Below are 23297 nucleotides of genomic sequence, written 5' to 3'. Positions count from 1 at the left end.
CTCCTCCCACAGCACAGCAGACATGCCTGGCACATGGCACTGCCCGGGGGACAGAAGCCCACTGCGCGGGGTGTGGGTTCCGACGTCAGCAGAGGGAGGCGTTTAGGATTTGAGCAGAGACATAAGTGTCAGTAGCTTCACTGTCCTTGCCCCCTGCACGCAGGCCTGGAGAGGGTGCCTGTGCCGACACCCCGCCTTTCCTCCCAGTTAGTTCCTGCCCCTTGGAGAACAGCCACACCACAGAAATCCATCTCCTGACCGTCTGTTATCAGCACTGCCGGCCATGGCAAAACCATCTGGTCACTGACTGTCTGGGCTTCCAGCAGGAGTGGGTGCTGCCAGATGTTTGTCATAAGCCCTGAACCCTTCTGAAAGGCGGCGTGGCTGCTGCGAGGGTCTGTCCCACGGCTGTTCCTTGTCTTGGCGGCCCTCGCCATCCCTGAGATGGAGCTGGCCATCTCTAATCACAGATTTCCAGAGTCAGTGGTTTGCTGCCTTTGATGGGTGTCCTCTGTTCTAAAAGATGAAAATATGGATGCTGGACTCCAGGTAGGAGAGGAAGCTGCAATCAGGGCAGGAAGACGGAAACAGAGAGGGTGGCCTCTGTACCTGGAGGTGGGCTGTAGGTTAGGTGGGAGCTTGTGGCTGGGGAGAGGATCAGATTTGATAAGACGAGGATGGGCTTTCGGGTGAAGAAGCCAGCTGGAAACAGGGAAGCAGAAGAGAGAGTGCGCGTTGACCCTGAGGCCAGCACAAAAGGGCGACAGCCACACCGCGCACCAGTCGCCCAGCTCGACCCCAGGGGAGCTCTGGCCTGGGCTGCCCAGGAAGGGAGACTGGACGAGGGCACGTGCTCGCCCAGAGCACAGCTGCAGACCCATCCTGAAGCCTGCCCCCTCTGGGGCTCTCAGAGGATGGGAAGCTGTGGCTGTGCCTTCCCTGGGATGCAAAGTCAGGTCATGTTCGGACAAGTCACCATGTTGTTGAGGCAGCACTTACGACGTTCCCCGCTACATCCGTGATGGCCGACCTGTCTTAGCCGCCCTGGCCACTCGGTGCCCCCACCCTGGAGAAAACCCAGCCGAGCCAGGCCAGAGCTGCAGACACAGCAGGCAGGTGGGCTCTGAAGAGCCCCTCGTGAGTGCGTGTGGAGGAGCCTGGGGTTTGGGGTGCAGGAGCTCGTGGATCCTGCTTGGGAGCTTGCAGCCTGAAGACCAGAGCTTTTCTGAGCATATCTACCCTCAGGGGTCAAGAAATCGGAATGGGAGTCTCGCAAGGCCGGGCTGTCCAGGGCAACTGCAAGTCCCACTTGGCTGCAAAGTCCCATGTCTATGGAAGCATCTGCCCATAGCGAAAAGCGGAGATGTGTTCACGGTGGTCTCTGTCCTTCCCCCTTTCCATCCCTCCCTCCCTCCCTCCTCTCTCTTTAGAAGGCCTGTGTTAGATGTGTTTCCTCATCCCGTAGGAATGGTCCCCTCGGTCTTGGTGAACATGAAACAAAGGGTGCGGGCAGTTGGGATTCTGTGCGCGCGGCTCCATCAGCCTTGATTAAGTTCTCCAAGTGATGTCGGGCTTTCCACCGCGTGTCAGCGGTGCAGAGTAACCTCAATTAAACAGTCATTTGAGGGAGAGAGAAGGGAAAACGCCTTCCAAACAATGATCTCGTGTGTCTTAGCAACAGCCAAGCTTCACCTTCTCAAAGACCCTCCCACGCCGAGGACAGAGACACCTCCCGAGCGAGCGCACTCCGTGGGCGCTGGAGAGCAGGCACTCAGCCACTCCTGCGAGCTGCCGGCTTTCCCTGCACACGCTCAGCCTCTTGATGCCTGGGTGCTAAATTACATCTGACATTTAATTTAAATGCATGGTGCCTTCATTCAAAAATAAACCCGCTGCCACAGCCAGGGCGTTCGCCGCATGGATTTTTTTCTTTCCACCTGCTCTCCCTCGCTGACCCCATCCTCACTTTGTCCAGTGCGCGCAAACTGGAATTGAGCCTGTCTCTCTCCTCGGGATATTGCCTTGTGCCCCCCATCCACGAGCTTCCCTTCACATGTCAGCATGTCTCCAGTTGCAATTTATAACCGAGAAAGAAATCAATCCCTTGGTCCTGCGGCTGCAGGTCCCCCCAGCCTACTACTGGGCGTCGGGAGCCTCCTCGGCCCCACAGCTCACAGCAGCTCCCCGCCAGGATCTGGGAGGTTTTCCCAGAGTTGGGCAGGACGCTCACTGGTGAGGAGGCTCTTTAGAGCCCACGGTCGAGTAGCCCTTTCTAGAGAAGCTAAAGATGCGGCCAGAAGGTTCCACGGCCTACCAGCGAGCCCTGGCTCGTCCAGGAAGATCGGCCGATGGTGCCGAGCTGGCCCACCCCAGAATGCAGCTGCACCCTGCTCCAATGCCACGGTGTCTCTGGGAGGCAAACCCTGAGGAAGCCATCTCAGGCGGGCTTTACACCCTTCCTTCCAGCTGTTTCCGAACCCACTGAGGAGCTGAACGCTGCGGTACATTTAAGAATTTCTCTCTCAACAGCTCACTGGGTACTCGACACTGGAGCCGGAGGGAGAGGACAACTGAAAGCCTCAGGAGTTTGACATTTTGAACTTTTGCCAAAACCTATTTCCAAAATAAACTGGAGACACTCCAAGAAATGCCAGATACAACTGCCATCCTCGGGCCAGCCTTCCTAGCTTGCAAGAACTGTTCACTCAGATATTGGCAGGGGGTCCCTGGGGCTGGGTCTCCAGCAGCTCCATGTTACCTGCCACTTCCTGCCTCTCATAGGTGCGGAGGAAGCAGCTCACCTGGGTGGCATCTTGCTGCTTCCCCAAGGAGCTGGCAGCAGGCTGGGACATTCCTGTGCAGTAGTAGCAGCTCATCCTCTACGCCTCACTCCCTACATCCGGCCAGCCTCATTGCCGTGGGGGAAGCCAAGACCCAGAGATTTGATTGTTTTGATCGTTTGGCCAAAACCACACAACAAGAAACAAGAGAAAGAACATTGGTAGGGCTGCTTCCAAAACTCATCCTTTTTTCTCTAAATCGAGCATTCTCTAAAAGATGATATAATAAAAATTATGAACAACAAGCAACCAACCAGTAAAATACACATTACGAAGAAGGATCAGGACCACGTGCTATGTTGCAGGCCTGAGTATGCATGCCAAGCAGAAGGGCCACAAGCAAAAGAGCCCTCAGAATCCCCTGGGGAGCCCACAGCACAGAGAAGCAGGCCTCAGAGTCACCCGAACAGTCTACAGCTCAGGGACACAGGCCTCAGAATCACGTGAACAGCCCACAGCTCGGGGACACAGGCCTCAGAATCACCCGGACACCCCACAGCTCAGAGATGCAGGCCTCAGAATCACCCAGACACCCCACAGCGCAGGGACACAGGCCTCAGAATCACCTCAACAGCCCACAGCTCAGGGACGCAGGCCTCAAAATCACCCAGGCACCCCACAGCTGAGGGACGCAGGCCTCAGAATCACCCACACACCCCGCAGCTCAGGGACGCAGGCCTCAGAATCACCCGGGCAGCTCACAGCTCAGGGACACAGGCCTCAGAATCACCCTGACACCCCGCAGCTCAGGGACGCAGGCCTCAGAATCACCCGGACACCCCACAGCTCAGAGACACAGGCCGCAGAATCACTCAGACACCCCACAGCTCACAGCCGCAGGCTTCAGAATCACCCAGACACCCCGCAGCTCAGGGACACAGGCCTCAGAATCACCTCAACAGCCCGCAGCTCAGGGACGCAGGCCTCAGAATCACCCAGACAACCCACAGCTCAGGGACACAGGCCACAGAATCACCTCAACAGCCTGTAGCTCAGGGACGCAGGCCTCAGAATCACCCGGACACCCCACAGCTCAGGGACACAGGCCACAGAATCACCTCAACAGCCTGTAGCTCAGGGACGCAGGCCTCAGAATCACCCAGACACCCCGCACCTCAGGGACGCAGGCCTCAGAATCACCCGGGCAGTTCACAGCTCAGGGACGCACGCCTCAGAATCACCTCAACAGCCCACAGCTCAGGGACGCAGGCCTCAGAATCACCCGGACAGCCCAGAGCTCAGGGACACAGGCCTCAGAATCACCTCAACAGCCCACAGCTCAGGGACGCAGGCCTCAGAATCACCTCAACAGCCCACAGCTCAGGGACGCAGGCCTCAGAATCACCCGGACAGCCCACAGCTCAGGGACGCAGGCCTCAGAATCACCTCAACAGCCCACAGCTCAGGGACGCAGGCCTCAGAATCACCCGGACAGCCCAGAGCTCAGGGACACAGGCCTCAGAATCACCTCAACAGCCCACAGCTCAGGGACGCAGGCCTCAGAATCACCTCAACAGCCCACAGCTCAGGGACGCAGGCCTCAGAATCACCCGGACAGCCCACAGCTCAGGGACACAGGCCTCAGAATCACCTCAACAGCCCACAGCTCAGGGACGCAGGCCTCAGAATCACCTCAACAGCCCACAGCTCAGGGACGCAGGCCTCAGAATCACCCGGACAGCCCACAGCTCAGGGACGCAGGCCTCAGAATCACCTCAACAGCCCACAGCTCATAGACGCAGGCCTCACAATCACCTGAACAGCCCACAGCTCAGGGACGCAGGCATCAGAATCACGTCAACAGCCCACAGCTCAGGGACGCAGACCTCAGAATCACCCAGACACCCCAGAGCTCAGGGACGCAGGCCTCAGAATCACCCGGACACCCCACAGCTCAGAGACGCAGACCTAAGAATCACCCAGACACTCCGCAGCTCAGGGACGCAGGCCTCAGAATCACCCAGACACCCCACAGCTCAGGGACACAGGCCTCAGAATTACCGAGAAACCCCGCAGCTCAGGGACGCAGGCCTCAAAATCACCCAGGCAGCTCACAGCTCAGGGACGCAGGCCTCAGAATTGCCCGGACACCCCTCTGCTCAGAGATGCAGGCCTCAGAATCCCCCAGACACCCCACAGCTCAGGGACGCAGGCCTCAGAATCACCCGGGCAGCTCCTACCTCAGGGACGCAGGCCTCAGAATTACCTCAACAGCTCACAGCTCAGGGACGCAGGCCTCAGAATCTCCCAGACACCCTACAGCTCAGAGACGCAGGGGTCAGAATCACCCAGACACCAGACAGCTCAGGGACGCAGGCCTCAGAATCACCTCAACAGCCCACAGCTGAGAGACGCAGGCCTCAGAATCACCCGGACAGCCCAGAGCTCAGGGACGCAGGCCTCAGAATCACCCGGACACCCCACAGCTCAGAGACGCAGGCCTCAGAATCACCTCAACAGCCTGCAGCTCAGGGACACAGGCCTCACAATCGCCCGGACACCCCACACCTCAGGGACGCAGGCCTCAGAATCACCCGGACACCCCACAGCTCAGGGACGCAGGCCTCAGAATCACCCGGACAGCCCAAAGCTCAGGGACGCAGGCCTCAGAATCACCTCAACAGCCCACAGCTCAGGGACGCAGGCCTCAGAATCACCCGGACAGCCCAGAGCTCAGAGATGCAGGCCTCAGAATCACCTCAACAGCCCACAGCTGAGAGACGCAGGCCTCAGAATCACCTCAACAGCCCACAGCTCAGGGACGCAGGCCTCAGAATCACCCGCACACCCCACAGCTCAGAGACGCAGGCCTCAGAATCACCCGGACACCCCACAGCTCAGAGACGCAGGCCTCAGAATCACCTCAACAGCCCACAGCTCAGGGACGCAGGCCTCAGAATCACCCGCACACCCCACAGCTCAGGGACGCAGGCCTCAGAATCACGCGGACACCCCACAGCTCAGGGACGCAGGCCTCAGAATCACCCGGACAGCCCAAAGCTCAGGGACGCAGGCCTCAGAATCACCTCAACAGCCCACAGCTCAGGGACGCAGGCCTCAGAATCACCCGGACACCCCACAGCTCAGGGACGCAGGCCTCAGAATCACCCGGACACCCCACAGCTCAGAGACGCAGGCCTCAGAATCACCCGGACACCCCACAGCTCAGAGACGCAGGCCTCAGAATCACCTCAACAGCCCACAGCTCAGGGACGCAGGCCTCAGAATCACCCGCACACCCCACAGCTCAGGGACGCAGGCCTCAGAATCACCTCAACAGCCCACAGCTCAGGGACACAGGCCTCAGAATCGCCTCAACAGCCCACAGCTCAGAGATGCAGGCCTCAGAATCACCCGGACACCCCACAGCTCAGGGACGCAGGCCTCAGAATCACCTCAACAGCCCACAGCTCAGGGACACAGGCCTCAGAATCGCCTCAACAGCCCACAGCTGAGAGACGCAGGCCTCAGAATCACCCGGACAGCCCAGAGCTCAGGGACGCAGGCCTCAGAATCACCTCAACAGCCCACAGCTCAGGGACACAGGCCTCAGAATCACCTCAACTGCCCGCAGCTCAGGGATGCAGGCCTCAACACATGCGGATTCCCACACTGCCTCACCATCCCCCTCAACTGCTCAGCAGACCAGGCAGCTGAACGGAAGAGATCTGCCTTTAATGGGCATCTTCTGCTCTAGAAACTGCTGAGGACTGTGGGTGCAGGGCAGTCCCGTGATCTCCATACTCAGGGCCCCGTGAAGACTGTGGGGTGTATAGAGGCCCGTGATCTCTATGCTGTTGGCACCGTGAGGACTGTGGGGTGTATGGAGGCCCGTGATCTCCACGCCCTTGGCCCCGTGAGGACTGTGGGGTGTAGGGAGTCCCGTGATCACACTCAGGGCCCCGTGTGGACTGTGGGGTGCAGGGAGTCCCGTGATCTCCTTGCTCAGGGCCCCGTGAGTACTGTAGGGTGTAGGGAGTCCCGTGATCTCCACACTCAGGGCTCCGTGTGGACTGTGGGGTGCGGGGAGTCCCGTGATCTCCTTGCTCAGGGCCCCGTGAGGACTGTGGGTTGTAGGGAATCCCATGATCTCCTTGCTCAGGGCCCCGTGAGGACTGTAGGGTCTAGGGGAGGCCCATGATCTCCATGCTCTTGGCCCCATGTGGACTGTGGAGTGTAGGGAGGCCCATGATCTCCATGCTCAGGGTCCCATGAGGACTGTGGGGTCTAGGGGAGGCCCGTGATCTTCATGCTCAGGGTCCCATGAGGACTGTGGGGTGTAGGGAGGCCCATGATCTCCATGCTCTTGGCCCTGTGAGGACTGTGGGGTGTAGGGAGGACTGTGGGGTGTAGGGAGTCCTGTGATCTCCACACTCAGGGCCCTGTGAGGACTGTGGGGTGCAGGGAGTCCTGTGATCTCCACACTCAGGGCCCTGTGAGGACTGTGGGGTGCAGGGGAGGCCTGTGATCTCCACACTCAAGGCCCTGTATGGACTATGGTGTGTAGGGAGTCCTGTGATCTCCATGTTTGTGGCGTGCGTGCTGAGTGCATCCTGCAGCCAGAGAAGGAGCTTTGTGATGGTCAAATCAGGGCGTGCGTCAAACATGTTAGGTTTCATTTACCGACTGCCTGGAAATGGGTAGGAACCAGATCGTTGGGTGGTCTTTGCTGCTGTATCAGCTTCCTCTTGGGTGAGCGTTTTGCTTTATCCACACGGTTCTGGAGCCTACAAAAGATGCTGACATTTGAGAGCAAAGCAGCGGCCTCCAGCCTGCCCTGCAGATGCTGGCACCCTCACTCAGCCTCTGCCCAGTGTCCCAGACGTTTTGGGGAGATAAATATCAGGACTGAGGTGCAAATGGAGGGGAGAAGAGAGGTGAGCATTGTCGGAGGAGCCCAGCATTGTGCAGCCTGCCCTCTCCCCCAGCCTGCCTCCCTGAGCCTGCCCTGTCCCTGAGCCTGCCTCCCACAGCCTGTCCTCTCCCCCAACCTGCCTCCCGCAGCCTGTCCTCTCCCCCATGCCTGCCTCCCGCAGACCACCCCCGGCTCTCAGCCTTGCGTTCGTCTGGAGCAATGTTTACAGTGAGAGGGTGGACGAGTCCGTGCAGAAGCTTCTCATCCAGCAGATCACTGGCTGGATCTGTGATGACCTGGGCTGAGACATACACAGAAGGACCTGGGCAGGGCCCCAGGAGCTCTAGGGTCTGCCCAGGGGCCACCGTTGCTGACTGTACGAGCTCCACCTCTTTCATCCTCATTTCTTCCCCTGAGAAATGCTGGGGTGGCCACTCCTGGAGCTGTCTCGGTCTATAAATCTTAGCTCCGTGCAAGGGGAGCATCGTGACCCAACCCAGATGCGGTGGCATAGGGACTCAGAGGCGCCTCTCAGACACCCGTAGTCCTCGTAAGGAAGGTGCCGCCTGGAAGGGGACCCACATTTCATGGAGGCAGAAGTGAGGGGTGGTGGGGAGTGAGGTGACACGCCTCAGGGCCCCTCAGAGATGCCGGGGGACTGGGGTGCGGCTGAAGTGAACACCCAGGGGCTGAGGGAAGCCCCGAGTCGTTTGGTAAGAGGCCTTTGAACCCATTCTGTTGCTTTTTCATCAGCCTGGATGTGCCTGAGTGATGAGGACAGTGGGGATCTGTGGCTTCCCCTCCACCTCACTCAGTGTCCACCAGGCAGACAGACCTGTCCTTGGGGGCCCTTCCACATCCTCCGTCTTCTGCACACGTTCTGATGGTACTGAAGTGCCTCACACATTTAAACATGAAAACAGCAGACTCTTACTACTTTCTAAAATTCAAAAGCAGACCCAATCTCATATCTTAAATTGAGGTTCTAGATGGCTACTATATTATACCTCTATTTGTGTTTTAAACCAAGAATTATTTTAAATTTTTTAATATTAAAATGGAATTCTGAGCATGCTCACCAGAGCCATTTATTCTTCCCAGAGCAGATTCCATCGTTGTGTAATGGACGGCACATCACGGCCCGATGCTGGGATGGGAGGCTTGGGTCTGTTGAACGGGCGCCAGGTCGGGTCCCCAGTTCCTATCACCTTAGGTGACGTTCCAGCCTCTTCCACTTGTTTGAGTTTCAGGCTCCTTGAATCTCCTTCGATGTCTGGGAGAGCTGCTGTGTTCACCCCGTTGAGGCCAGCTGACCCCCAGCCCACCCCAGCATCACGGCTTCTGTGCCCTCCATGCCTGGACCACCTCGCGCCCGCTTGTTTACGCTCTGATTCCTCCATGGTCTTGCTGTACCCAGTAACCTAGCACGTAGTAGCACCTCAGGAAACATGTGTTGAATTAGGACTTCCCATAAAAACAGAAAGCATGAAGGGGATCCAGATGGTGTCAAGCATTAGCTCTTCTAAGCTGCGTCAGAGTCGTGCCCCGGAGCACGTCTCCTGCAGCAGCATCGCCCCGTCACGGCACCGCCTCACAGCTCCCACCACGACACATGCAACGTGCAAAGAGGACACAGGGAGCTGCGACTTCCGTGGCTGGTGGCAAAGAAATGGGGCAGCACTTTCACAGCCATGCCAGGAACCTAATTCAGCCAACCTGGAAATAACTATCCCAGCCACGGCCTTGCCAGAAGCCCAGCTCAGCCAACCTGGAGATTGTTATCCCAGCCACAGCCTTGCCGAGAGCCCAACTCAGCCAACCCAGAGATAGCTATCCCAGCCACGGACTTGCCAGAAGCCCAGCTCAGCCAACCTGGAGATCGTTACCCCAGCCATGGCCTTGCCAGGAACCTAACTCAGCCAACCCGGAGATAGCTATCCCAGCCATGGCTTGCCAGGAGCCCAACTCAGCCAACCTGGAGATAGCTATCCCAGCCATGGCTTGCCAGGAGCCCAACTCAGCCAACCTGGAAATTGTTATCCCAGCCACAAGTGTGGGTCCCACTTAAATGGAGGAAGGATGAGTCACAAAAGCAGGGTAATGTGGCCTATCCCGTGCCTGTATCGCTGGCAGGTGGGAAGCCTAATTCTTAGGCCCTAAGCATAGCCCGCCGCACCGATTGCAGGCTGGTCCCACCGTGAGCAGACAGCACTCCTGGCTCCACTCCACAGCTTAGCCAGGAGGATTCAGGCAGGTCCAAGCCCATTACCAGACCTCGCTGTGGAAGGCGGCTGACATTCGAACCCACTGGATGGGCATCTAAGTCTCTGACCTTTGCTGATGGTCGGTTCCCAGAGCTGCCTCCCCTGCCCTCACCCCAAGAGACCTCCTGACCTGTGAGTATCTCTAGAACTCTCCAGAAGTCAGATGCAGGGAGCTGCCCAGGCTCAGTGAGTGGTCCGTTCATTACAAGGTTCTCTCCACCACAGATAACACAAGCACAGCCTGGCTCAGTGAGTGGTCCATTCATTACAAGGTTCTCTTCACCACAGATAACACAAGCACAGCCTTAGCACAGAGCATTGGGTTGGATCATGCATCACGTTCATGCAATACCGAAGCATTTTCAAGACAGATTAAACTGAGTAGTGGGATGGTCCTCTTCCTTGGCTACTTATGAGTATTTAATATCAATACTTTGGAATTACAAGCAAAAGGTATTAGGAAGAAGAAACTAAGCTCCAAGTTGGTATCATCTCACTGAGACTGTGTCTTTCTGCCCAATGTGTCAAGCTCATGAATAAAAGATCAAGAGGACAGTTAAGGGGTTATGTGAGGAGTTCAAAGCTCAAACAAAGAACAGCAACAGACAGCAGACACACATCTTGAGATGGAGTTGGTGCTGCTCAGGCGAACAGTCCCCCACCCTAGATTCTGGGTGTGCTTGGAGCTTCTCACCCTCGTGGGGTACACGCATCTGCAGATGGCTTCACCTCCAAAATGCTGCCCTGCCATCCACATTCATCGTTTACTCCAGCAATCAGCAAACCTAGATACCCACTTCTGGAAAAAAAAAAAAAAACAGAAGTCAGCTCATCAAGTAGTCTCTCTGTACCTCTAAAACTGTTCAATGAATAAATACCCTCACAATCTCAAAGGAATATTTTCTGTCCTACTTGTATCCAAGTAACTGAATTTACTTCCTTCTTCCTTTTCAAAAATCTCTGGAGACTGCCCCGTCTAAATACAGTTAAGTAGCTGGTTACCCCAGTCACCTGTTTAAAAACATCTGGAGACTGCCCATCTAAATACAGGTAAATAACGCGTTACCCCAGTCACCTGTTCTCCATCTACATATGCAAAAGCCCTCGATAACTTTGGCCCTTTTGATGCTCAAATCAGTGACCACATTCACATGAGTTACAGGTGATTGGAAAAAGCCTAGTTGTAAGCATTGAGCACACTCAGTCACCGTAGAGAGATACATCTAGAAGGGAATCGTGCTGGATTATTTAGGTGTTTGTCAACACAGGGCCAGACCATCCACACAGAAAGAGCGCTGGTCAGATTGTTGGTCCCTGCCACACCCGACTGCACACATTCATTTATTGGTTCGTCGTTGACACAACTTCTGCAATCTGATGGAGAATGCAAAGATGAACCAGACATAGAGCTGGCCCTCAAGGACCCCAAGTCTAAGAGGAAAGATGAGCAGAGAAGTAACTGAGCTAGGAGTTAAAAATGCCGGGGACATGAAGAGCAAAGCTGAGAGAGGACAGAAGCCCAGGAGATGCCAGGTGCAGTGTCCACAACATCCTTCTTCCCAAGGGCCACAGAGACTATGGTTTGGCCAAACAGTTGTCCCCTTCTTCCCTCATAGCTTAGAGGACTCCACGTACAACCAGTAAAACTGACCTCCCAGAGGGAGGAGAGCCACTGAATCGTGCATGGGTCATGTGGACGGGTCTTGCTTCTTCCTGCAAATGTCCAGAGAGAGGTGAGGAAGAGAGCGTCTCCGGGGAGGGTTCCAGGAGGGACTGATTCTTGAAGTGGTTTTGATGGAGGAGAAGCATCCTAGACAAGATGAACAGCGTTAGCAAACACACGGGGAAGGGATGATGGGGCTCTAGGTGCCGAAGAGCCTTCAGTGGGGGACTAAGAGCAGGCCGGGCACCCATGGGAGGGAGGTCCACAGGCAATGCCTTCCTTCACCAATTCTCAGTCTTGGGCTTGTTGGCCGGAAACAGCCAGCAGTAGTAAGACACACCTTTCATTTTACTTACTAAAGATATGTTGCAATCAGTAGTCATTATCAATTGATAATTGATTGGCAAGTCATTTTAAAAAGTGAGGAAATCAAGTCCCAGGAAAGGTGCTGGAGCCAGGCTCTTTTCCATAGGGCTGGTGGACAGGGCCTTTGCCGTCATGGAGCCTGTGGAAGGAGGCGTGGGGTGGCTCCGACTGTGAGTTAGAAGCACCTTTGGCCTCCAAATCACATGAGCATCATCTCCCCCCTTCCCTTGTTGCTCGTTTCAGTAGCATCTGAAATGGAGAGTTTATTTGATTATTTTTTCCTCTCTGACAAAGTAAATAGGGTTTTAACCTGTGGTACAGAGGGAACAAAGTGGCCCATGGGTTTTCCAATAATATTTTGGCCCTTGCTCAGGCTAATGGGAACTTTCAAAAAGGCGGGGAGAGAGAGCGGCTCTAATTATAATCTGAAGAACGAATCTGCTTACAAATCCATCAGAACTTGATTCCTGGGATCCCGTGGGCCAGGGGCACTGAGGTGATTCCGAGGCTTGCTGGAAAGAAGCCAGTGCCCATCGGGATGGGATTCTCCACCCTCTCATTAGCTCGTGGATTGTTTAAAAGAAAAAGCATTGATTAGGAGCCTCTGAGAAGCTCCCGCCACTCCTTGGAGCCCTCTCTGGGGAAAGACGACAATATTTCAGTTGCTCTGTGTGTTTCCCCTGCCCTGGGCACTACCCACCCCCAACCCAGGTGATGGCCATGGCAGCATGAAGTCACCCCGTGGACAGAGGGAGACAGGGTTCCGGAGCTGGTCAGGCTCCCGCGTTGCCGTGGACGGAGGGAGACGGGGTTCCGGAGCTGGTGAGGCTCCCCCTGCCTTGCCGTGGATGGAGGGAGACGATGTTCCGGAGCTGGTCAGGCTCCCGCGTTGCCGTGGACGGAGGGAGACGATGTTCCGGAGCTGAAGCCGAAGCAATTTGACCTTGCTGGTTCTCTGGTGGCTTTTCTGAGTCTGGGTCATTGATAGGTTAGTGTTCTGTGCCCTACAGGAACCTGATCCACCAAGGAAAGTGTTAAATTTAACAATGTATACATAATAACAAATCTGCATCTGGGCAATGGCATTAAGGTAGCTCACCATATACAAAGCAAAGTGGGTGTATGTGTACAACACGGTTAAATAAAGTGATAAAAGGCATATGGAGGAAGGGGTCCTGCTGGCCGAATCAGCAATAAAAAAGCACAATATAATGTACAGTTAAACCCATGTAGATATAAAAAAATTAATGAAAAGATCCAGCTGTGCTAAAAGTGGAAACTCCATACAGTCCCAGTGATTCCGCTCTCCCTGAACCCTGGCTGGCTCTGGCTTCTGGAAGAGGAAGAGGTCAGAGGAAAGCTGCTCTGTCTTGCTGGGGAGCCATGCGTGAGCACGCAGAGGGGGTGGAATGAGCGGCCCAGGAGCTCAGGCCTCCTTGCGGTCACCTTGGGAGGTGTCCTGTTCTCTGCCGTCAGAACCAAAGCACATCCATCTTGGAGTGTCCCAAAAACACAGTATGGTGACCCCAGGGCTGATCTGTGTGCAAGATGACTGAAATTAGCATCTGCCATAATTTGGTATTTGATTCCATAACAACCTTGTCTGGTCACACCTGGGGAGAAAGAGCTCTCCAAGAGTCCCAGATGGCAGTTGGCATTGAGTTGACCTCGGGGCAGCTGAAGGCACAGGTGTCACTCTGCCTGTATGGTGACCGTCAGAACTCAGGACGGCTCTTCTCACAACACTCCAAGATACTACCCTCAATTTCTTGCTGGCACTTTAACATTTTTTACAGGAGACCATCTTTTCCTCCCCTCATAGACGAATAAGCTACAACGAAGGTGCCCCTGGGCCGCAAACCCATCTCCAAAGGCTGCGAGACTCTGGAGGCAGATGCCGGGGTGAGAGAGTAGTCAGGAAGAAGAGGCATTTTACCAGTTTCCCTCGGCTGTCCCAGCCAACATCACATCTGCTGCTGCTTATATTTGTGTCCAGCTGCTGTTATGTGGGTAATTCAGGGGCAATTCAGAGGCATGAAGTTTCAGACGAGACTGAGAGCCATGGAGTTTGCTTTAATCTCCGGAACATGGAGGATTAACCGTGTGACCTTGGGTGAGTCCCCCCCGGCTGTGGCTCTTCATGTCTGCAGTGGGTTTTAGAGAAAGGCCTGTCTCCCTATGTCACAGAGATTTGGGAACAAGAAATGAAAACTGATGCAGAAACCACTCAAAGCTCCTTGGAATAAAGATACTATCTGAATTGCAGGAGCCTATGAAGAAAACCCCTAATGCGAAGTTAAATCTTAAAATCAAATCCTTCCAGGTGCTCTGTCTCCTGGGCTGCACCCCTCTCTCCTGACTCTTTTCCATCTTCCTCCAAACCAAAGTCGCTGGGGATGTGTGGGTGGCTGGTGGGACAGCCCTAATTTGACCTGTGAGCATCCTAAGGACATGATGCCCCTACCCCTTCATGGAACTAGAAATAATACATACAAAACCCTAAAACACGTGTCCAGAAACAGCACGGAGCTCTGAAATAATACATACAAAACCCTAAAACAAGCACGTATCCAGAAACAACAGCACAGAGCTCTGATTTCTCCTGTGATGAGCCGTGATGACGACTTCAATGCCTAAAATGTCAAATATCGAGTGATTTTATTCAAAATGAAAAAACATGGATTTTGTCCTAAGCGTCAGCTCAGTCTGCATGTGAGTGACCAGCCGCTGGCTGCACCACAAACAACCCGGGACCAGCACCGGCAGCCTGCGTCCCTCCCACCCACCTCTCGGATAAGGCTCCCATCAGAGAGGAGCCTCCAGAGGCTGAGAAACTTCACAGGATGCCAAATGCTTCCATGAGTCCCTGGTCTTGACCCTGCCCTCCTCCCTTCGCTCCTCTGCTGATGAACTTCACGCCAGTATCAGGCTCTCAATCCCGCTCCCCAGCACCTCCCTCCCCTCTGGGGCGCCTCCTTCCCGGTGGTGGGAGAGATGTCGAATTCAGACGCCAGGAATGTTGAAATGTCAGCCTTCCCAGAGCACACAGATACGTCCCCCTGGGTCACGTGGAGCTTATTGTGTACGGCCACATTCCTGTTGATTCTCAGCTGCCTGTGAGATCCTTATTCTAATAGATGTTTCAAAAGAAGTATAATACCGAGAGGCCTTAATAGTGTTTAAAAGTGAAACTTTCATGACAAGATATAATTTCAAAATAACAGCTCTCCACAGGAACAGTGAGGCCCTTTGGGGCACCAGGAGATGGATGAGAAGAGAGGAGGGGTGAGTGGCAGAGCCCTCTCTTCTGACCCAGGCATTCCCGGGAGCCTCTGTCCCTGCTGCTGCAGGTCTGGCCAAGGCAGCAAGAGCCCCTCGGAGCCTCCTCCCCCGCCCAGACACCAGGTCCTCCCCGCATCGGGGGTGGTATTTGCAGATTAACGCACAGCATCCTAATTCCTAGTCAGGCTCTTCCAGACCTTCTAAGCCGGCCTTGTGGCCTTGGTGGCTGGCGCCCCAGCCGGCACCCACGATGCTGTAAATGCTCCCGAGGACCAGGGCCCTTCCTCTGTGGAGGGGCTGCCACGCCCAGGCCCCATTCTGGGGAAAGCAAACCCCTCCCTGTAGGGGAACACTCTGGAGCTCAACTCAGGACCGTGAGTACGAATGGGAGCGCCTGGGCCCAGAGAAGCCAGGCCAGGGGATGGGAACTTGCTGCTGCGTCCTCGCCTCAGGGGATAACCAGGGAAGCTCAGCCCTCCTGCCTGCGCCCCCTGCCCGGGCACAACGCTTAGCTTCCACTGGAGGTGAGGCTGCCCGGCCAGAGAGCACCATGCTCCTGCATGTAGGGCTCACTCACAGCACACGTGCCCTCCAAGCCCAGCGCACTCAGACTCCCAGATCAGGTTGAGGTCGTGCTGAGGCTCAGCGAACAGAGCCTCCAAACCACGGACACAGGAACACTGCTGGGGGCCGCGTCCACACAGGCCCCAGTCTGGGGCGAGCTTGGGCTTCTCAGCCCTCAGACAGGAGAGTGAGCTCGCCAGGCCGTCTGGTGAAGGAAGACGCATGAAGATAAAATCGGGGAGCAACGTGGCGTGTGTACCGAAGCTTCATGAAATACATGTCAAATTAACTTTTTAAATGAATGTGTGAAATAAATACAGCTGCAACCAGGACGTAGTTCACTTCTGTTTATCCAAGACGCCTGGTGTGATTTCTTGCTGGGGTTTCTTCTTACTGAGAAGATGCATTGCCCCCGGGAGACTCGGGAAGCCTCTGCAAAGGGCACCTGAAGCAGGAGCACATTTACTCTACCCTTTAAAAATGTCATCCCCATCCCACCAGGACGGAGAGGAGCTTTTCATTTGTAGAGGGAAACTGTTACCCCTTGGCTCCAAAACCAATATGTGTCCAGCCGGGCACTGGTGGGATTGTACCTCCTCTGATTTTTTCACTCAACATGGAGGGACCTGCATGTAAGATGTAGGTGAGCGCCGTCCACGAAAGAGCAGGAGACACGAGACTCCGTGGCCAGGGGCGGACACCAAGCCTCCCACACTAAGACAAGCACTGGCCATGCTCCCCAAGCCGTCTGCGTGCATCTGTGTGTAAGTCATCACGGGTGGCCGTGCCCAGGACCACAGACTGGGTGCATTAAACTGCAGGACACGTCTGTTCTCACAGCTCTGACAGTCCCAGACCAAGCTGTGGGGGGCGGCGGGGGTGGGGGCGGTTCTTCCTGTGACCTCTCTCCCGGGCTTGTGGACAGCATCTTCTCCCCATGTCCTCACACGGCCTTTCCCTGGTGCAGGCACGGGGTGTCTCTCACTCTTCTTGTAAGGACACCAGTCCTGTAGGATCGGGGCCGCCCTTTTGGCCTCATTGAACCTTAATTAGCTCCTTGGAGGTCCTGTCTCCAAATATAGGCACATGGGGATCAGAGCTTCAATGGATGGATTTGGGGGGTCACAATTCAGCCTATAACAACCTCTAAAACTGCAAGGCCAGAGTTAAACCCTGAATCTCGCCCAGATTTAAGCCTGGAACACAGAGGCCTTCTGGCTAAGAGCAGCCTCCTTTGAATGGTGGTGGGAAAGGGAAGGTTCTCGGGCTGGTGTGATCGGGTGATGTATCCCCAGCCAGAGATGCTTGGGGCTACCAGTGGTGAAGCTAGGGCAGCGGGTGCCGGCCTCGCCCAGGCAGGACCAGGACACATGCTCTGCTCCAGGGCATGAGATCCAAGGTGGGTGTTTGGGAACGGGGCCCACCCACCGGCCGTCTCTGACCCTTCTTTGAAGCCTGTCTGTCACGTCACCTTCAGCTCAGAAAGGGCCTGGAGAATCTTGGGGCAGCTTCTCTTCCAGGTGGCTTGAGGCATGTGCCGATCGCTATCAACACACCGGGAATTCAGAGCCCACCCAGCCTCACGGGGGCCTCCTTTCCCGAGAAGGTACTCAGCCACTGCCTGCCAGGAGGACGGGGACCAAAGGCGCCCACCTGCTCCCCACATTTGCGGAGCGTCTCCCACAAACAACACTGAGAGTGTCACTAAAGAAAGCGCCTGCCCCGAGGAGTTTAGAATCCAGCCAAGGAGGCGAGTCATGTTCTGTCATTTAATGTGTTTTGATGCCATTCAACCCCTTCATATTTTTAACAATATGTTAAGTAGACTTCCATTTATTTTAGCCCCAGCTGCCTTTTGAGAAAGCTCAATTACTTTTGAACAACCTAATCATTTCCAAAGGGCAGCTTCAAACCCTCATTTTCTAAAGCAGCTCAGCAGCCCTCCACCTTCCTGGGCCGCTGCACACAGTTGAGTGTGGACGCAGATAAGATGCAGGTCACCAGCAAAGTCAGATGCACTCCTGGCCGCTCTCTGATGACTTGGAGCTCAGGATGGACACCATACAGTCAGAGATGGCTGCACCCAGCTGGGTCCACAGGCATAGTCAGTGGGACTGCTTTACCAAAGGGACTCATCAGGTTAGTCCAAAAACAATACATTCGATGGATCTTCCCACCAAATTCACGCAAGAGTTGCTTGAGTGTCTGTTGGGTCAAAATGGCCAATGTGGCTGTGCACATGAACACGGAGCTTCGCCGGCCGAACCACGGGAGCAACACAGGACTGTGGCCACAGGAGCCGTGTTCAGCTGAGCACACGGCGCTCCCCAGCAGGTCTGGGAGACAGGTCCACCAGGCCAGGTGCTCTCGGTGCCAGCGGCACCACTAACCGTCCTGCTGCAGTTGGCATCACAGCCAGAATTTGTTTGGGGAGATGGGACTCCTGCATCGAGGCAGTTAGCGGCTGCTATTTAATAATCTCAGATGTGTGTGCGCGTTTCCTCCATAGCAACTTGCCTCCCACGTCGACATCAATATTGGAAAACGCAGGCACATGGCCGAGCGCCAGGTCCTGGTGTGGGTTTGCCTCTGGCTGGCTGCCCTGCTGGTCCCGGGTTCATCCATGACACGGGTGGGACTGAATGTGGGATCCCCAGGACCCTTACAGTTCCAGGTTATTGTAACAGTTTTGTGTTATCATTTCGAAGCCAAATGAGAATGGCTTGACCCCAGATGTAAGTACAGCCTTGTAACGCTTCAGTAAGATGGGAGCAGAGTTAAGAATAGAGACTGTTTATTTGGGGCGTCTCGGCTGAATCACCATTTAGTCACTGGGATGTTGCTAAAATATTTGTACATCTCTGGGGCTGGAAGATGTTGAAATTGTTTCTTTGCCTGCCTTTTTCCATCCATTACAAACCCAAAGAGCTGAAATTTACCTTAAAGGTAGACTCATTATATTCAAGCATGCTTGCTCCTGAAGGTGTGTATAAATCTTGTTTGAAAAGCTGAATTGGGTTTTCCTGGAACAAACATTGACAGTACCTACCCTGGAAGCCTATGACTGTGCTGGGTGCATGGAATGGAAAAGAGTAACTGCGCTGGGTGCATGGGACGGAAGAGTAACTGCACTGGGCGCATGGGACGGAAGACTGCACTGGGCACATGGGACGGAAGAGTGTGCTGGGAGCATGGGGTGGAAGAGTAACTGTGCTGGGCGCATGGGACGGAAAAGAGTAACTGTGCTGGGTGCATGGGGTGGAAAAGAGTAACTGTGCTGGGCGCCTGGGACGGGAAAGGGTAACTGTGCTGGGCGCATGGGACGGGAAAGGGTAACTGTGCTGGGTGCATGGGACGGAAAAGGGTAACTGTGCTGGGCGCATGGGACGGGAAAGGGTAACTGTGCTGGGCGCATGGGACGGAAAAGGGTAACTGTGCTGGGCGCATGGGACGGGAAAGGGTAACTGTGCTGGGCGCATGGGACGGGAAAGGGTAACTGTGCTGGGCGCCTGGGACGGAAAAGGGTAACTGTGCTGGGCGCATGGGACGGAAAAGAGTAACTGTGCTGGGCGCATGGGACGGAAGAGTAACTGTGCTGGGCGCGTGGGACGGAAAAGAGTAACTGTGCTGGGCGCGTGGGACGGGAAAGGGTAACTGTGCTGGGCGCCTGGGACGGGAAAGGGTAACTGTGCTGGGCGCATGGGACGGGAAAGGGTAACTGTGCTGGGCGCATGGGACGGGAAAGGGTAACTGTGCTGGGCGCATGGGACGGGAAAGGGTAACTGTGCTGGGCGCATGGGACGGGAAAGGGTAACTGTGCTGGGCGCATGGGACGGGAAAGGGTAACTGTGCTGGGCGCATGGGACGGCAAAGAGTAACTGTGCTGGGCGCATGGGACGGCAAAGAGTAACTGTGCTGGGCGCATGGGACGGAAAAGAGTAACTGTGCTGGGCGCATGGGGCGGAAAAGAGTAACTGTGCTGGGCGCATGGGACGGAAAAGAGTAACTGTGCTGGGCGCATGGGGTGGAAGGGTAACTGTGCTGGGCGCATGGGACGGAAAAGAGTAACTGTGCTGGGCGCATGGGACGGAAAAGAGTAACTGTGCTGGGCGCGTGGGACGGGAAAGGGTAACTGTGCTGGGCGCATGGGACGGAAGAGTAACTGTGCTGGGCGCGTGGGACGGAAAAGAGTAACTGTGCTGGGCGCGTGGGACGGGAAAGGGTAACTGTGCTGGGCGCATGGGACGGGAAAGGGTAACTGTGCTGGGCGCCTGGGACGGGAAAGAGTAACTGTGCTGGGCGCCTGGGACGGGAAAGAGTAACTGTGCTGGGCGCATGGGACGGAAGAGTAACTGTGCTGGGCGCGTGGGACGGAAAAGGGTAACTGTGCTGGGCGCGTGGGACGGGAAAGGGTAACTGTGCTGGGCGCCTGGGACGGGAAAGGGTAACTGTGCTGGGCGCATGGGACGGGAAAGGGTAACTGTGCTGGGCGCATGGGACGGGAAAGGGTAACTGTGCTGGGCGCATGGGACGGGAAAGAGTAACTGTGCTGGGCGCATGGGACGGAAAAGAGTAACTGTGCTGGGCGCGTGGGACGGGAAAGGGTAACTGTGCTGGGCGCGTGGGACGGAAGAGTAACTGTGCTGGGCGCGTGGGACGGAAAAGAGTAACTGTGCTGGGCGCGTGGGACGGGAAAGGGTAACTGTGCTGGGCGCGTGGGACGGGAAAGGGTAACTGTGCTGGGCGCGTGGGACGGGAAAGGGTAACTGTGCTGGGCGCGTGGGACGGGAAAGGGTAACTGTGCTGGGCGCGTGGGACGGGAAAGGGTAACTGTGCTGGGCGCGTGGGACGGGAAAGGGTAACTGTGCTGGGCGCGTGGGACGGGAAAGGGTAACTGTGCTGGGCGCATGGGACGGGAAAGGGTAACTGTGCTGGGCGCATGGGACGGAAAAGGGTAACTGTGCTGGGCGCATGGGGCGGAAAAGGGTAACTGTGCTGGGCGCATGGGGCGGAAAAGGGTAACTGTGCTGGGCGCGTGGGGTGGAAAAGGGTAACTGTGCTGGGCGTGTGGGACGGGAAAGGGTAACTGTGCTGGGCGCGTGGGACGGGAAAGGGTAACTGTGCTGGGCGCGTGGGACGGGAAAGGGTAACTGTGCTGGGCGCGTGGGACGGGAAAGGGTAACTGTGCTGGGCGCGTGGGACGGGAAAGAGTAACTGTGCTGGGCGCGTGGGGCGGAAAAGGGTAACTGTGCTGGGCGCATGGGACGGGAAAGGGTAACTGTGCTGGGCGCATGGGGCGGAAAAGAGTAACTGTGCTGGGCGCGTGGGACGGGAAAGGGTAACTGTGCTGGGCGCATGGGGTGGAAAAGAGTAACTGTGCTGGGCCATGGGGCGGAAAAGGGTAACTGTGCTGGGCCATGGGACGGGAAAGGGTAACTGTGCTGGGCGCATGGGACGGGAAAGGGTAACTGTGCTGGGCGCATGGGACGGGAAAGGGTAACTGTGCTGGGCGCATGGGACGGGAAAGAGTAACTGTGCTGGGCGCATGGGGCGGAAAAGAGTAACTGTGCTGGGCGCATGGGGCGGAAAAGGGTAACTGTGCTGGGCGCATGGGGCGGAAAAGGGTAACTGTGCTGGGCGCATGGGGTGGAAAAGAGTAACTGTGCTGGGCGCGTGGGACGGGAAAGGGTAACTGTGCTGGGCGCGTGGGACGGGAAAGGGTAACTGTGCTGGGCGCGTGGGACGGGAAAGGGTAACTGTGCTGGGCGCGTGGGACGGGAAAGGGTAACTGTGCTGGGCGCGTGGGACGGGAAAGGGTAACTGTGCTGGGCGCATGGGGTGGAAAAGAGTAACTGTGCTGGGCGCATGGGACGGGAAAGGGTAACTGTGCTGGGCGCATGGGACGGGAAAGGGTAACTGTGCTGGGCGCATGGGACGGGAAAGGGTAACTGTGCTGGGCGCGTGGGAAGGAAGAGTAACACAGGCCCTGTCCCCAGGGAGACCTCTGGACTTACTTATTTGTTCTGTCCATGGGTTTTGTACTGAATGTCTGCCATATGCCAGATACGGTTCTAGTCACCGCAGAGTTCACATTATGAGCAGGCAGTTGTCACACGATGCAACTAGGCTGTAACAGGGCTTTCTGCCTGGTGCAGACCTTCAGGAAGGCACCTCGATTACCTTCCTCGGAACTCAGGGTGGGCTTGGCAGAGCAGCTGATATGCGGGCAAGGTTTTGCATGCTAAGAAGTGATTTGACAACTGGACGAGGTTAGCAGGAGCTTCTCAGTGGGGGCAGCGCAGAGGTGAAGTCGTAAAGGAGCCTGCTGTCCTAAGGCTGCTGGGAACTGCAGGGGGTTTACTTGAATGAGACAGGACCCCCTCGTCCAGGGCTGGGAGTTCAGGAGACCACGTGTGGCACCTCCATTTTCTCTTCAGAGCAGGACGTGAGCTCACCTGCCACAAAAGAGGGGGCATTGGGTGGGGAGTTGGGGAGAAGGGGAAAGTCCTAGTGCAGTCCCCATGAGGAATGAGAGAGAGAACAAGCGGAAGAGCTGCCAGGTCCCTGGCGGGAGCCACGCCGAGGTCAGAGCCCTCCCCTGTGGCTTGCATGTCTCCGCCATGTGCCCAGGCGGGGAGCAGCCCCGGGGCCACAGAACGCCTCTGTAGCGGGGAAGTGTTGGGAGGGCCGGCTCTGTCCCCTAGGCGGGCCGTGCACTGTTTTAAAGACCCCACTGTGGTCATCATCACCTCCTAACTATACCGTGTACAATTCCACTTGGTCATACCCTTCATCGTGAAGCAATCTCACTGCATTTTAAGAGAGGTTGAAGCATTTTGACAACCTCAGTAATGGGATTTTGGCAGATGGAGGGGGAAATGGCCCAGCCTTTATTTTCAGTTGTGCCATACAGGAGGGCAACCGCTGTCACCCCTGGGGCACCACCTCGGCCAGGCGTGCGACCTCTTGCCCAGGAACCCCAGAAAGGGGGCTCAGGGGCTTAAGCTGCTTTCAAATGTCTGCCGCTTGCGACACCCTCCTCTGTTTTGGCTCCTCATCCTCGTTTTTCTAGAAGAGGAAAGGACAGTAGCCACATTTCAAAAAACAGTTCCAGGAAGTTTACTTTGTCTGGCGTAGAAGACGAGCCTTAAAGCCAGACACAGTTAAAGAGCAACTCTGATTCCAGGACATGTGTCCAGCCACAGTGACACAGCTTCACCCCGAGTGCCCGGGGGGGGGCAGGGGTGGTGGCCTGAGTGGGACTCAGGTGCCATCCCCAGGGGTCTCAGAACCCAGAATTGCCAGGCTCTGTCCCTACTTGGTTAAAATTTTATGCGAATGTGGACTTTACCCTATAAGCCCATATCGTTATTGTATAAAAATCATTTTCTCTAAATCTTCCAATGAAAGTGACCCTCGAGCACAATGGGCCATGTCTATCTTGTGGTTTCTGCTCCCTGGAG

The 23297-nt window shown here is 55.9% G+C and overlaps 1 protein-coding gene across 10 annotated transcripts in view, besides 1 other annotated feature; it reads left to right on the top strand.

The window, feature by feature from the left end:
- PTPRN2 (protein tyrosine phosphatase receptor type N2) overlaps positions 1-23297 on the top strand; it is a 1048768-nt gene that overhangs the window by 834562 nt on the left and 190909 nt on the right. The gene's annotated exons all lie outside the window — the stretch shown is intronic.
- Positions 20129-20860: an enhancer, noted in NCBI's record as "OCT4 hESC enhancer chr7:157525094-157525825 (GRCh37/hg19 assembly coordinates)". NCBI's record gives its function as "activates a minimal SCP1, AML or CMV promoter by ChIP-STARR-seq in naive H9 embryonic stem cells {active_cell/tissue: H9 hESC(naive)}" and the evidence as "EXISTENCE:reporter gene assay evidence [ECO:0000049][PMID:30033119]".

Source organism: Homo sapiens, chromosome 7 (genome assembly GCF_000001405.40).
Source record: "Homo sapiens chromosome 7, GRCh38.p14 Primary Assembly".
In the NCBI taxonomy this organism is placed as follows: Eukaryota; Metazoa; Chordata; class Mammalia; order Primates; family Hominidae; genus Homo; species Homo sapiens.
This window is presented reverse-complemented; position numbering and strand designations above follow the sequence as displayed.